We start from the raw sequence: 15,383 nt of genomic DNA, 5'->3' as shown, positions 1-15,383 counted from the left end.
TGGAAGCCAGAAATTGGAGGCAGTAATGCACCCTGATCGCACCTGTGAATTTCCACGGCCCTCCAGCATGGGAAACACAACGAGGCTCCGTCTCTTACAAAGAAAAGAGTTAGGGCCCAGTGCAGTGGCTCATGCCTGTAATCCCAGCACGTTGGGAGGCGGAAGCGGGCAGATTGCTTGAGCCTAGGAGTTCAAGAGCAAGACCCTGTCTCTATTAAAAAAAAAATATAACAAAAATTAGGCAGGCATGGTGGTGCATGCCTGTGGTCCCAGCTACTTGTAAGGCTGAGGTGGAAGGATTGCTTGAGCCCAGGAGTTCGAGGCTGCAGTGAGCCGTGGTCACGCTACTGCTCTCCAGCCTGGTTGACAGAGTGATACCTTGTCTCAAAAAAAAAAAAAAAAAAAAAAAGAGTTTTTAAAAGTTTGTGGTATGTGCTTTTAGGATAGGCTTATTCACTTTATTCCTTAGTGCTTTCTTAATTGTCTTAAATGGCTATGAAGTTAAAAGACTATATATTGCTTTAGTTAAACAAATGAGGTTTATGACAGGCAAAGTCAGACTTTTGTTGACCTCCGTTTAGTGTATTTATATAAGAAAGAGCTTATGACACATTTTTGATGTCATTGTTTTATGGCAATTGGAATATTTGTGAGGAAAATTTGTAGACAATGACAACTGTAGACTAGAGCGTTCCTTTAAACTCAAGGGAGTCTGGCATGGATCGTCAAACTGAAAATGTTCAGAAGCTGAATTCTGTTTCCTTAAAGCCTTAGACTCTTTCCTGAGAGTGATAAGAAATTATTTCTTTTATTAGAGATTTTAAACATAAGAGCATTACTTATTGATAAGAACATATCAACAAACATAAGAACATACTATCTTGTAGTATGTTTTTAACTGAAGGCAGGTTGAGAAGAGACATCTCTTCCTATAGTTCATTCACAAATTACTGAGTGTATATTATGTCGCAGGCACTGTTGGATGTGCTACGGATACTGCAGTGTGAAAAGCAGATATGTTCTTATATTTGTAAATTAAATGACAGGTCTTCCTGGCATAATGGTCTGTTCTGGTTTGGATATATGTAGGTAATTCTTCATGGTAAGGAAATACGATTGTTGCAAATGAACCAGTGTAATGCCTGTTGGCTTTTCAGTTGTCTGCTTTGTGCGTCTGGAAGACACCTGCCTGTACTCTTCAGTCATAAATAAGAAAGTAGATCAGACTTTTTGATTCATGGCTATCCATGGTGGCCCAGACATTACCTTTTATGACCAGACATTACTTTTAGTTGGACAGATTTTGAGGGTAACATAGTTAAGATTAAGAGCCCTGTGTAAATGACCTCAAAATGGATTTGAAATAGTGGGAGTAAATTGGAATTGCCCTGTCCTAGTTTTTTAGTTTTGCGTTCTTTGAGACCAGAGGTATTCTAATTGCAGTTATGTTTCACACCAGAGTGAGCCAGAGCCCCAGTCACTGGAGACACAATGAAGGTTATTAGAATGTGAGCGGTCACATTCACAAATGACCTCACAGGACATATGGTGGTACAGAAGGAAGAGGATACTAGACTCTTACAGATCCGGTCACCAGGAATCTGGTCTGTTTGACAACTCATCAGGTGTGTGCTCTTGAAAAAGACACTCAGCATCTCTAGGTTACAGTGTCTTCAGGTGAAGAGACTAGATACCAGTTGTGTCAGCTCTCCTTTGGCTCTGATTCTGTGAAATACCACCCCTGCTGATAATCAAAACCGCTGAGGATCTCTGACAGTCTGATGTTTGTACTAATCATCTTTTCAGTAACATTAATGTCAACGGTAATTATTTTCATTAAGTTTTAATACTACTGTTTTTCTGGAAACAAGGAGAGCAGCATATTTCTACTTAAAAATTTGGTTCTTTATGTGATCTAGACCAGAATCTGAAAGTACTCACTTTTAACCACATGCTTATTTAATTTGTGCTGTAATACTGAGGACATACCTTAATAGTGTCAAGAAAATAATTGAATCACCACTCAGTGGAGCCTAATTTTCCATGCCAATTGAAGAAAGTATTTTCCTCTCACAAATTGGTTTGTAAGCATTAATTAATGTGGTGGGTTAATTATCCACATTTTTCTTAATATTTGCTCTCCCTGCAGTGTTTTGGTATCTTTGGAGCAACATGATGTCTGTTTATTGAAGCAGTTGTTGAAGAACTTTGTGTTGAAATATGCCTTTGCTGTCCTATAATTTTTATTAATATGCTACCATACTAAATCTCATGTTTATCAGTTTATAATAGTTTTCTAGCACATTGTCAAAACAAGCTTTCCACACTTTTGTCTGCGTTTAGAAGCATGTTTAAAGAGGTAGCAATAGTGTATTCCAGTAAAATAATAATTCTGAAACATACAATTTTATATAAACGTAACTATTAAATTACCTAGTATCTTTATGTAATATCAGTTTATTCATTGCTTATTTGTGCATTTTGCTGATGTCAAATGTGAAAATAAATATCTTTCAATTTTCAGGAACAATGAGCCTAATATGTTGTGTAGCTTAGCAGGCTAATGTTAATGGGATGTGTTTGTGTTTAATTTCAAAATATTACCAAAGCATTATATTTGATAACTTTTTATTTTGCTATAACTTCAAACTTACAGAAAACTTTCCAGAATAGTAAAAGTAACTCCTATAAACCCCTTACTTACTTCCTTCATTTTGGTGACTAGTAACTCCAGGAAGCCCTTTAACCACGCCCACCAGTTGTTTCCTTTTTCCCCAATTTCTGTATCATTCTGTCCATCTGTCTGTCTATGTTTTTGTGAACCATTTGAAAGTGGGATGAGGCATCATTCCTTGACTCCTAAATACTTCAGTATGTAGTTATTAAGAATAAGGACATTCTCTTATATTATAATACAGTTACCAAAATCAGGAAATAAAATATTGGTACCATACTGTCTAATCCAAAGTTGAAACAGACAAACATGAGGAGCCTTTCTTGATATGAATCACTGAGAAGGATCTGTGAAGTCCCTGTGAAAGATACATAACCCAAATCAAATCAACAGGGATGATCAGACAGAGCCAAATTGATAGGCATTCCATAAAATAACCTGTACTCTTTGAAAATGTCAAGGTCAAGAAAATACTAATTTTTGGTTCTCAGATTGTCTGGTTTGGACAGTGGGCACTGCTTCAGTCTGGCTCTGTGGCCTTTTGACATACACTTCCTTAGTGGTACAGCAGAATCTTTCAGGCTTACCTTGTCCTTGCCCTGCCTCAGCCCTGCATCAGCCATTTCTCCAAGGTCACTGGTTCCTTTCATTGAAAAATGGTATTTGGGAGTTAGATATGCTCATCGCTACTGTTGTATTATTGCTTCTAGCCTCTCTCAATGTACAAAGCTAGAAAATACACACTTGCACACACACATAAATCTACCAGTACACTTCTTTGTCACATACCATATTAAAAACTGAGTTCATATATCTGCCTTTATGAAGAGTCTCCTCAAATCTTTTGCTCAAAAAAAAAAGGGTTGCTTCCTTTGTTATCAGATTGCAAAAGTTCTTTATGTGTTGTTTGTATAAAGTCCTTTGTCATTTGTATCTATTGTGAATATTTCCTTCTAGGCAGTAGTTGCCTATTTATTTTCTCTTGATAAGCAGAAGATTTTAATTTGGATGAAGTCAGAAAATTTAGTGTTTTTCATTGTACTTGTGTTTGTCATATTGAACACAAGTCTTTACCTACGCCCAGGTAATGGAGATAATCTCCTATGTTATCTTCTTTATAGTTTATAATTTTAGTTTTTATGTTTATGAGCCATTTTGAAATAATTTTTGTAAGTGATGTGAGGTTGCAGTTAACATTCCTTTTTTTTTTTTTATGTAGCTATCCAGTTTTTTCAACACCATTAAAATATTTTTCCCATTGAATTACTTTGGTGCCTTGTCAAAACTCATATAATCATATGTGTTTGTTTCTGGATTCTAGTCTATTTCATTCGTCCATTAGTTTATCCTAATGTCAACAACACTGTCTTGATTACTGTAGATTTGTAATAAGTCTTGAAGTCATGAACTGTGTTACAACTTTTTTCTTCCTCCTAAGATTGGTTTGGCTCTTGCTAGATGTTCGAATATCTACTGGAATTTTAGAATGACCTTGACAATATCTCTATATAAGCTTGCATGAATTTATAATCAGTTTGGGGAGAATTGATACTTTAACAACATTGAGTCTTCTGATCCATGGTCATGATATAGATCTTCACTTATTTAGGTCTTTATTTTGTCTCTGCAGTATATTGTAGTTTTTAATGTAGAAGTCTTGTACATTTCTTTTATTAAGTGTATTTTTAGGTATTTGGTTTTATAATGGCATTTTCAAAATTTAAAAAATTTTATTTTCTAATCATTTCCTACTAAAATATGTAAATAACTGATTTTTATATATTGACCATGAATACTAAGTCTTTGCTAAATTCGGCTATTAGTGCTATTAGTTGCTTAGTAGATTTCTTAGGATTTTTTATATAAGCAATCATGTCATCTGCAAATAGATGTTTACTTCTTCCTTTGCCATCTTTCTGCTTTTTATTTCTTTAATTCGCCCTATTGCACTGCTAGAACTTCTAGAACAGTGTTGAATAGGCAAGGAAAGAGAGGTATCTTTTCTATGTTACTGTTCGAAAGGGGGGAAAGCATTCTGTATTTCACCATTAAGTAGGATGTTAGGTGATCCTCCCCACTCAAATAGTTCTTTATTAGATTGAGGAGATGCTCTGTAGTCTTAGTTTGTTGAGAGTTTTTAATCATGAATAGTTTTTAATCATGAGTTTTATCAAAGGCTTCTTTGACATCTATTTAGGGTAACATACGGTTTTTCCTTTACTTTTAATATGGTAATTCACAGTGATTGATGTCTGAAAAACTGGCCTTGCTTGGTTGGAATAAACCCTACTTGATCATGATGTATTCCTCTTTTGCTTTTTGAAATAATTCATATAGGCTTGATATTTCTTCTTCCTTAAATGTTTTATGGAATCCATCTGTGAAGGCATCTAGGTTTGAGTTTTCTTTGTAGGAAAGTTTTGATAATGAATTTAATTTATTTAATCTTTATGAAGATATTGAGATTTTCTATTTCATCTTGTTTAGTTTGGGTAACTTGTCTTTCAAGGAATTCATTTCATCTAAGTTGTAAAATTTATCAGCATAAAGCTGTTCATTGTCTTTATTGCTATTTAAATGTCTTTAGTATCTATGGTTATTCCCTCTTTCATTACTGAAATTGATAATTTTTGTTTCATTTCTAGAGAGTTTTTTTGAAACATCAATTCATTAATTGTTGGTGAAGAACTTTTGGCTTTAATTTTTTTCAAATTCTTTTTACTTATGTTATTGGTTTCCACTGTTTATTTTTTTCCTATTTCTGTCATTCTGCTTCCTTTTCCTGCCCTCCTTCCCCTTTACTTTGAGTTTATTTAGCCCTTATTTTTCTAGTTTTTTTTTTAAAAGGTGGAAACATAGATTCTTAATTTTAAATATTTTTTCTCTAAGATTTTAAGTTACTGCTTTGGTGGCATTCCACAAATTTTGATAAATGTTTCTTATCATTCATTTCAAAATATTTTGTTTCCCTCTTAATTTCTACTTTGAATGTTGGGTTATTTAGAAGTGTATTAATTTCCAAATACCTGGATACTTTTCTGGATATTGTGTTTCTATTGCTAACGAAGATTCCTTTGTAATCTTCGGAATTTCGGTCTTTGGAATTGCCTGTGACTTACTTTATGGCCCAGCATATCGTCTATCTTGGTGAACATTCCATGAGCACCTGAAAAGGAGTTTTATAAATGTCAGGTCAGGATGACCAACAGTGCTGTTCATATCTTCTATGTTTTTTGTTTGTTTTTTAATATCTAGTTATTAATATTGAAAGGGAATATTAAAACCTCAAACTATGATTGTGTATTTATCTCTCCCTATCAATCAGTTTTTGTTTAATGGGTTTTGAAGCTCTTGTATTAGGTGTATACAGTTTTGATTGTTATGTCTTTCTGATGAATTTGTCCTTTCATCATTATAAACTCTCCTACCAAATTGCTTTGTGGTATCACTTCCCCTTCAGATTGAAGAACTTCTTTCAGCATTTCTTGTCATACAGATTTGTTTGCAATGAACTTTTTTTTTTTTACTTGAAAAATGCCTTTTACAACTTTAATTTCAGACTTTTTTTCTTCCAGTACTTTAAAGAACTATATATCTTTAGATAAATCTATTTCTATAACTATATTGATCTATAATCATGTTCACTGACTGTTTCTTCAAATATCTTCTACCTACTGTGCAGCCTAATCAGTGTATTTTTCATTTCAGACAGTATACCTTTCAGTTCTAGAATTTGCATTGCATTTCTTTTTAAAAAATAATTTTATAATTTTAATTCCTCTATTTAGAACAACCATCTGTTTATTCATTATGATTACATATATTTTAATAACATTTGTTATAGACTCTTTTAAGTTCTTATCTACTAATTCTTCTGTCTGGTTCATCTTGGGGTCCATTTCGGTTATCTGCTTATTTGCTTATAAAGAGATAGGAAAAAATCCAAGTGTTTTTCCTACTTTCTATGTTCACACAGCCACTAACTCAGTACACACTCCTGATACCAGGTGTGTGTGAAGTTTTCCCCACACACCAAGCAAGCAGCTCTCCAGCGGACACCAGCTAGATGTCCTCTAATTCAGTTCAGTCCTGACATGAGCATGTCAGATCCCACAGCTTGAGAAGTGGGGATATAAAATTGATTAAAGATGTGTTTTCAAAGAAGAAACAAATAAAATATCTAAAATTTAACACAGTGAATATTAACATTATGTAGTAGAAGTTTAATAGAAGGAGGGATCAGGGAGACTAAAATAACATTTGAGCATGACTTGAAATATTGGTAAAGATTTAATAAACTTGGAAATTTCTCTTTGGTGCAAAGAGGTTGAATTACATGAATACAAGCATGTGGCAGGTTCGTAAGAGGTGAATGGGCTCATGTGGGGAATGTCAGAGGAGAGGAGTGGTGGAGATGAAGTAGGCAGTGTGGACGGGTCTAGCTGTGACAGGCTTTGAACGGGATGTGGAGGAGGTTGTGGGCTGTGCAGACCACAAAACAGTGGATTTCATAGAAGATTATTTTAAAGGTAGGGATAATATTGATTAGCTCCATATTTTAGAGAACTAACTGGCATTTGCTGAGGGTGGATTGCAGTGGAGAGAAAATGGGGCAGAGTTACCAGTTATACGTCTGTTGCAGCATTGAGGGGAGAAGACGAAGGTCTTAAGTGGGAGAGCAACAGGAGGAAACAGTAGGATTGAGAGGAATAGTTGATTTTTGATTCAGACAAAAGATACTGATTATTTGATTCAGGGGGTGCCAGAGGGAAGGAGAGGAACTCAAGGTAACCTTGAGTTGTCTCATTGGGTTTATTGGATGAATGATAATGTTTTTCTGGACTTCCTTTTTTGTTGTTTTGCCATTTTATTTGTATTAAATAAGTTACGTAGGCATGATTGATTAAGTCGTGTTGGACTGAACCTAATCTGCAGCCCCGCCTCTCCACAGGAGGTTGGTTTGCTGGTGCTTTGCTCAAAACCCTAACCCTCTAATCCCATGGTCTTTCTGGAATGGCCAGTCCTGCTGTTGAGTCATCTTGGCCTATACTAGGGCGTGGTTTGAGAGGATCATGAATAACAAAGACCCTCCTATTGCCGGAAAACACCAAGGATTTAAGACTCGCTCCCAGAAACCAGGGACAGAGGTCAAATACTCTATTATACAACATACCCCAGACTCATTCCACTCTCTCCTGCCATCCACTGCAACATTTCCAGATTCTTCTAATCTGCCATTTCTTGGTGGTCCGTTTTAGACATTAGCTGTCAGCCTCCCATTATGTGAGAGAAAAGATGGTCACTCCCTGGTTTACCTGTCTTGCCTGCCCCCAAACACACATCCGCCTTTTGTGCCTTATTTCAATTTTGTTTAAACCGGTGGTCAGTTACTACATTATTATGACTGTATAAGTCATGTGTCTTTGGACCTTTTTGAAAATTTCAAGAGCTTTTATTCTTGGATTCATTTATTTTCATGGCATCTAGTTCTTTTAGGGGTAAAAAATTTCTCTCGATATTAATTTGGTATCAAACTTTAGAATGATTTCGAAGTTTTTTTTTTTCTGTACCTGCTGTTAGTAGTTTGGTAGGGCTGTTATAACAAAGTATACTAGACCGAGTGGCTTAAACAACATACATTTATTTTCTCACCCTTTTGGAAGCTAGAAGTCTGAGATGAGGGAGTCAGTGGGGTTGGTTTCTTTTGAGGGCCGTGAGGAATGATCTGTTTTAGGCCTCTCTCCTTGGCTTGTAGACAGCGTCTTCTCATGAGTCTTCGTATGTCCTTCCCTCTGTGTGTGTCTCTGTCCAAATTCTTCCAATAAGGACACCAGTCATACTGGATTAGGACCCACCCATGTGACCTCGTTTCACCTTTATTACCTCTTTAAAGGCCCCCTTTCTGAATACAGCCACATTCTGGGGTACTGGGGCTGGGTTTAACATATGAAATTTGGCAGTGGCGGAGTGAGGTGGGTGGGCATAATTCAGGCCATACAACACCTGCAATATGTTTGTTCTGTGTTTTTTTCTTGTTTGTCTTTCTTCCATCTCTGTCTTACATATCTTTCCTCATTCCCTTTGGCTGTCCAATGTTGGGGGTCAGAAAACGATACCCTAAAATATGGTGCTTTGACATTCTGCGCTAAGGAAGCAGCCTCAAGCTCTCCCCGCACCCCTTCTGTCTCTCCCAAAGCACAGAATGAGGCTGTTTATCTGAAGTTCCCTTACCTACGGAGAAACTAGACCAACCAAAGAAGAACACATTTGCCTTCAGTTTCCTCCCTGAAATTTCATTAATCAGAGAAGATTAAAACTCATATCATAGAAAAAGAGACTGAAAATCAAACACTACACCTGGAGCCCAGATGGGCTTTGTCCAAACTGTTGTCTGTTCTCAGGTCCCATTTAATTCTCAGAATTATTTATTAACTACCATCTGAGCATTGGGCCCATTCATTCCCCCTAAAAATTATTTACTACCCCTCCAAATGGCCACATTTCGCCTATCCTCCCTTTCCCTTTGAAGAAGGGTCTGTAAGCATCTGGACCTCACCGGTTTGTTGGGTAACCATGCTCCTGCGAGTCCATGCACATTAAAGAAATGTGTCTGCCCTTTGCTCCTGTTAACCAGCCTCATTCATCTCCAGCGACCCTTTAGAGGGCAGAGGGGAAGCTTTCACTCATGGCCTGTACGCCTCCCACATCTTAGAGTGAGACTATTAACCGCTGATTTGATTGAGTTTGTGTGTGGGCAGTTTACAGTGAGTGGCTGTACAGGTGATGGGCGGACAAGCAAGCGGCCCTTCCCTTTTTGCAGGGAAGACACTCAGGTGTCAGGATCTTTGGGTCTTATTTTCCTAGGACTCTTCAGTTTCTGCGGGGAATAATGCTTCAGTTGTGTGGACAGGGTGGGATTGGCAGGAGGGGCTTGCACACCTGCTCACAGTGGCAAGGGCAGGAGGGGCTTGCACACCTGCTCACAGTGGCAAGGGCAGGAGGGGCTTGCACACCTGCTCACAGTGGCAAGGGCAGGAGGGGCTTGCACACCTGCTCACAGTGGCAAGGGCAGGAGGGGCTTGCACACCTGCTCACAGTGGCAAGGGCAGGAGGGGCTTGCACACCTGCTCACAGTGGCAAGGGCAGGAGGGGCTTGCACACCTGCTCACAGTGGCAAGGGCAGGAGAAGGGAGGCAGCCTGAGTCCCACGGCTTTGCTGCACAGGTTTACCCCAAATCCCTGGTCAGCCTGCCCCCAAGTTTCCCACACCTCTGCTGTGCTGGGGGTCTCTGAGTCCTGGTGCTCTTGCTTGGTTTCTTAAAAGACTAAACTTCTCTTCTCCAGACTGTGAAGGATGGAGGCAGGGGCCAGGGAATCTAACTTTTTAGTCCATAAAGATACAGGTCACCAGCAAGTCTCACTGTTCTGCTCTGAGCCTCACCCCACCTTCTGGGGCATCTGAAGCCCTGAGCACTTGAGTTCTCGGGTTTATTAGTAAAATTTTATTATTTTTATTATTATTTGAGATAGAGTCTCACTCTGTCACCCAGGCTAGAGTGCAGTGGCGCAATCTCGGCTCACTGCAACCTCCGCCTCCTGGGTTCAAGCAGTTCTCTTGCCTCAGCCTCCTGAGTAGCTGGGATTACAGGCGTGCACCACCACGTCGGCTAATTTTTGTATTTTTAGTAAAGACGGGGTTTCACCACGTTGGTCAGGCTGGTCTCAAACTCCTGACTCGTGATCCGCCCGCCTCGGCCTCCGACAGTGCTGGGATTACAGGCATGAGCCACCGCACCCGGCAAACTTTTATTATTTATTGCTTGCCTCCTGTATGCCAGGTACTGGGCTTTCCAAGGATTATCCTGTATGTTCTTTACAATAACCTTATGAAATGTTTTCTGTTTCTAGCTCCACTTTACATACAAGAAGAGGGAGATTTAGAACAGATTTAGTAAATGGGAGCAGCAGTACTTGAACACAAGTCTACCTGGTCTCAGAAACTACACTTTTCCCTCCTCTGTTATACTCACAACAGCTAGCAAATTCATGCTTCTGCCTGTATCTACGTTCTAGGTTTTGTAGAAATGTCAGTATATTGCATTGATTTGAGCATATTAAAAAAGAGTTGCTATACTATATAAACACAAAAGTAAACTGAAATTCAGTACACCTGTGGGAATGTAAGTGTGTTTTTATTTTTATGAGTATAGTTAATCAGAATATCTCCTTTAAACAGCCCTGGGGGTAGAACAGTAGAACAGTTCCTAGTATCAATTTAGGGTTCAGCAGAGGTAGTCATGGAGCTACGTGGTGACATTAGTTTCTCTCTGCCCTTGTGCTGAAAGTTTTTAGAACCCAGGGCTTAGCATTCTGTTATTCTTATGTCTTTCTTGCAATACTAACCAGAGTGTCCTTAGTAACTTAATGTTCAGTAGATGTTGGCTGATTGGCTAAATGACCCCTAAAAAATTCAAAACTCTGTGTTTAAGAATACTTTTTATATTTTGGTACTGACTGTCTAGCATTCTTATATTTTCAGCCAATGCTTGTCTCAGTTGGTACTAATCCTTTTTTCTTTCTCTTTTAACAGATTACTTCTCTAACAGGATCACCAGTTTGCTCCACAAAGCACAATGTCTCGATCACGACAACCCCCCCTTGTGACCGGCATCTCTCCAAATGAAGGGATACCATGGACGAAGGTCACAATCAGGGGAGAAAATCTGGGGACTGGCCCCACCGACCTCATAGGTAAGGGCAGAGGCCCTGCGACGCACCCTGCTAATCGGATTTTTATGTGGACAAGGGAGACAAGATATGTAATTTTCAAACAGTGAAGGTGATAGAACAAACATCTTTGTGATCTCTACAGAATGCTCCAAAAAGACGAAAGAATTATCTGGCTTTCTGAGTTTTGTGTGAAAATCATTATTTTGTCAAATCTTGCCTTATATTGTCTTTCAAATCCTTCAGAAGGTTTCCCAGGGCTGAGATTTGCCTCTGAATTTTCTGAAGCTTTGATGTCTTGATTGTCAAAAGAGCTGCTTTTATAGTTTTGCTCTCATTAGTTTTCCTTCCCTTGTCTGACTTGTCTGTTGCTTCTCAGGGGCTGTGTGAATTACACCTTTTCTGTTCCTTATTGCTCTTCAAAGCAAGTCTCAGCCCCATCTCCTGGTGACACGGGCAGCAGTTGGCTCTGTCTTCACTCCACCTGGCGGGCATGTGTCCTCATCGTGATCTGTGGATCCTATCTGGAGCGAGCCAAAGTTTAGTTTTTAGGGGCAGTTTATGTTTTTTATCTTTTCTAGCGGAGTTTAAGCTCAAGGTCATGAATGGTTAGGACACCACACCTCCAGCTGGTGTGGTATAAATATTTCTGGATGTTGGCTTGCATGGTAGCCTTCCTCCTTCCATGATGTGGCGGCCTTTACTGATGGCCTGTTCTTGAAGCTCTCAGGTCTGCGAGTGCTTCTCAGCCCTGGCTTTTCTGAATCTCTCTAGAACTTTAAACGTAAATCATTTGGCCTACTAAGTTTCAGTCTCTAAAGATGGAGCCTAAACATTATTTTTAAAAATATACACGGGTATTAGGGACAGCCAGGGTAGAGAGTTTTAAGTATAATTTTATGGCCAGTTACGATTACTTGCCTGTGAACTGCTCAGGTGGGTATACAGATGCATTCAGAATGAGGAAGGGAAAGGCCCCTCTCTGTGCTACTGAATGAATATTCTGGCTTCCCATTTACATTTCTTCTGGACTCAGACATTCTCTTGACTCATTTCTGCACTGATGACGGAGCTGTTACTAAGGTTCTGAAATCACGAATTGGAACTTGCTTTTCCTGCATTATGACTGCTGGTTGATAGATTGGTTTTTGGCCATCCAGAAAACTCTTTAAAAAGAAAAAGTGAACGGGAGCTCAGCACTGTGTTTAGTGACTGAGTTTTGCACTGCCTAGCCAATTCTTTTTGCTAGTGTTATGTCTCATTTGATATTGTTTTCTCTAACTGTGACCGGCATCTCTCCAAATGAAGGAATACCATGGACAAAGGTTACAGTCGGGAGAAAACCTGGGTAGTTTTTGATTGTTTAGTAAACATCACTTCAATTTATTCCTGCAAAAGTAGTCTTACCTAATCCTATGCCTTGGTTTTTGATAAAGCTCATTCCAGATGTTTCTTTACCTAAGTGTAAAAATCCCCAGAATGCATAGAAATCTACTCACACAGGTGGGGGTTCCGTCCAGAATTTTCGCTGGCAGTCATTGTGCGCTCCCAAACATGACAATAGTCTAGGTAAATTTTAATCTTGTTTGAGCTTCAGGCAATGCTATTCTTACTTGACTAAGCGTGTATTACTTTTCTTTTTGTTGCTGTTGTTTTTTGTTTTGAGACGGAGTCTCGCTCTGTTGCCAGGCTAGAGTGCAGTGGCGTGATCTTGGCTGACTGCAACCTCCGCCTCCTGGGTTCAAGCGATTCTCCTGCCTCAGCCTCCCCAGTAGCTGGGACTACAGGCGCATGTGCCGCCATACCCAGCTAATTTTTGTATTTTTAGTAGAGATGGGGTTTTACCATATTGGCCAGGATGGTCACAATCTCTTGACCTCGTGATCCGCCTGCCTCGGTCTCCCAAAGTGCTGGCATTACAGGCGTGCGCCGCCTTGCCTGGCCTGTGTATTACTTTTCTAAACCATGCTAGTTCAGCTTTCAACCTGCCTTATATATTGCCAAGAAACCATTTTTTAAAAAAGCAAACTTAACCTGCTAAATAATTTAAGTGTTTTTAACTCAGATGATATCTACACTAGCCAAGCAAAGCACTATAAAAAGTACTTTACTTGGAATTCTATGAGTTACTTTTTTTTTTCTAAAAGGTGCTATTTTATTTCATGAAGCAGATTTCTTAGCGTAGCTTAGCAAACGTGCTTAAGAAATCAAGAAATAGGTCTTAACGATCTTTTTTCTTTTCATAACATTTAAAATGATCTACTTGAATCTGTGTTTGAATTATTTGCTGATTATTCATTTTTTTGGAGTAAAAATGCACAACAGATATTAAATCAGAGGAATCGTGAAAGCAGCTGAGACCCAATGAATAAGCTATTGTTCTAGGGGCACTTTTGTGCCAACGGGGACCTCCATGCATATCATTCAGGTTTGCTCATGTGAACATGTTTTAATACTTTATATCTGAAATTTGCTCTTATTCCTCAGTTTTAAAAATAAGGTAGTTCTCTAGCAAGGAAATTTCATTAGGGATGACTTTTTTCCTTTAATGAAGATACTATTTGTATTTTTACATTGCTACCTGACGTTAATTGTTGGGTTGTTCTTCATTCTGAAGTGGGTTAATATTTAAAATCACAAAAATCTGATATTAAAATACTTAAAAATATTAAGTTGTCTGTTGACCTGGAGTGATACCAAAATACCTACTGTCAATAATTAAGCAGGTTATACATTGAAACAGTTGTTTAAAAAACATATAGACTGGTTTTTATATGCACAGAATCACTTGAGCAAGTGAACATTGACATGTTAGCAGTATTTCTCTCGCGAGGTGGAGTTTGGAGAGGCTTTCAATCTCTTAAGTTATTTAAGTTTTTCATAACAAAAATTATTAGAAAAAATATCAAAGACATGCCCATTTTGAAAAAAATAATTTTGAATAATGAATATATTTAAAAATGTGTTATTATAATTAAAATATACCAGTAGAAACCATAGTCCTGAGGAAACCTTTTAATGCCATTATTAGAAAAACAAAGTTGCAGACATTAGTGAATTATAGGTATTTTAGAGAAACCCCTAAAATTCATTATTTCAAGCAATGTATCTTTAAAGCATAGTTGCTTTTATTCCTTTATGGTTTAACATTCTTACTAAATAGTTCTTTAAGTTGGAACAAAAGATGATTTGACTTTGTGCCTCCATTTTAAAGTCAGATTTGGCATTAGGTGATATATTTCTGGTATCTGAAAAAAAGCCGAAAGAAAACATTGCCATTGCTAAACCTTAGTGCTGAACATTATAGAAAGTTAAATAATGAGAAAAAGTGTGAAGTGTCTGCCGGGCATGGTGGCTCACACCTGTAATCCTAGCACTTTGGGAGGCCAAGGCAGGTGGATCACTTGAGGCCAGGAGTTCGAGACCAGCCTGACCAGCATGACGAAACTGTGTCTCTAAAAAAAATACAAAAACAAAACAACAACAAAAAAACTAGCCGAGCGTGGTGGTGCTCACCGGTAGTCCCAGCTGCTTGGGAGGCTGAGGCTGGAGAATTGCTTGAGCGTGGGAGATGGAGGTTGCATTGAGCCAAGATCACGCCACTGCATTCCAGCCTGGGCAACAGAGCAAGACCCTGTCTCAAAAAAAAAAAAGAAAACGTCAAGTGTCTGTGTCTGTGCCACATACATTCTGGTTTCTTTTCTCCATAAATATTAATTACATTGGTCTCTGTTTTGTGGAAATGGAAAATCTAAAGGAAGTAAGTTGGAAGGCTAGCTGACCAGTGTGGTGCCATGCTGGTATTCCCCCTGAGGTGTGTGCCTTACTCACTGCATCTTTCAGTGCCTCTCTGTTTGGTTATTACCTAAATTTTGTTTTACATGGTATGAGGGAGGTGACATCATGAGTTGACCTTCTGGGAGTGTAGGTTTACTGTAAGAGCAGAATGTAGTGTAGTGACAGTTTCATTAGGAAAGCACTA

At 38.5% G+C, this 15,383-nt stretch overlaps 1 protein-coding gene across 18 annotated transcripts in view; it reads left to right on the top strand.

Moving 5' to 3' along the window:
• Window positions 1-15,383, top strand: part of EXOC2 (exocyst complex component 2) — a 207,986-nt gene that overhangs the window by 44,014 nt on the left and 148,589 nt on the right. For 16 of the 18 annotated variants that reach the window (NR_073064.2, XM_017011022.2, XM_017011023.2 and 13 more), the window contains one exon: window positions 11,265-11,425. Coding sequence is in view for 17 of the 18 variants with exons in the window: in XM_017011022.2 (XP_016866511.1) it covers window positions 11,308-11,425 (118 nt within the window). In the remaining variant the exon portion in view is untranslated. Of the gene's footprint in view, window positions 1-1,459; window positions 1,626-11,264; window positions 11,426-15,383 lie in introns of all 18 variants that reach the window. The other 2 variants (XM_047419010.1, XM_047419015.1) reach the window with 1 other exon arrangement.

This window comes from Homo sapiens, chromosome 6, assembly GCF_000001405.40.
Source record: "Homo sapiens chromosome 6, GRCh38.p14 Primary Assembly".
Classification (NCBI taxonomy): Eukaryota; Metazoa; Chordata; class Mammalia; order Primates; family Hominidae; genus Homo; species Homo sapiens.
The sequence above is the reverse complement of the archived record's forward strand: the minus strand, read 5'-3'. Positions and strand labels throughout refer to the sequence as shown.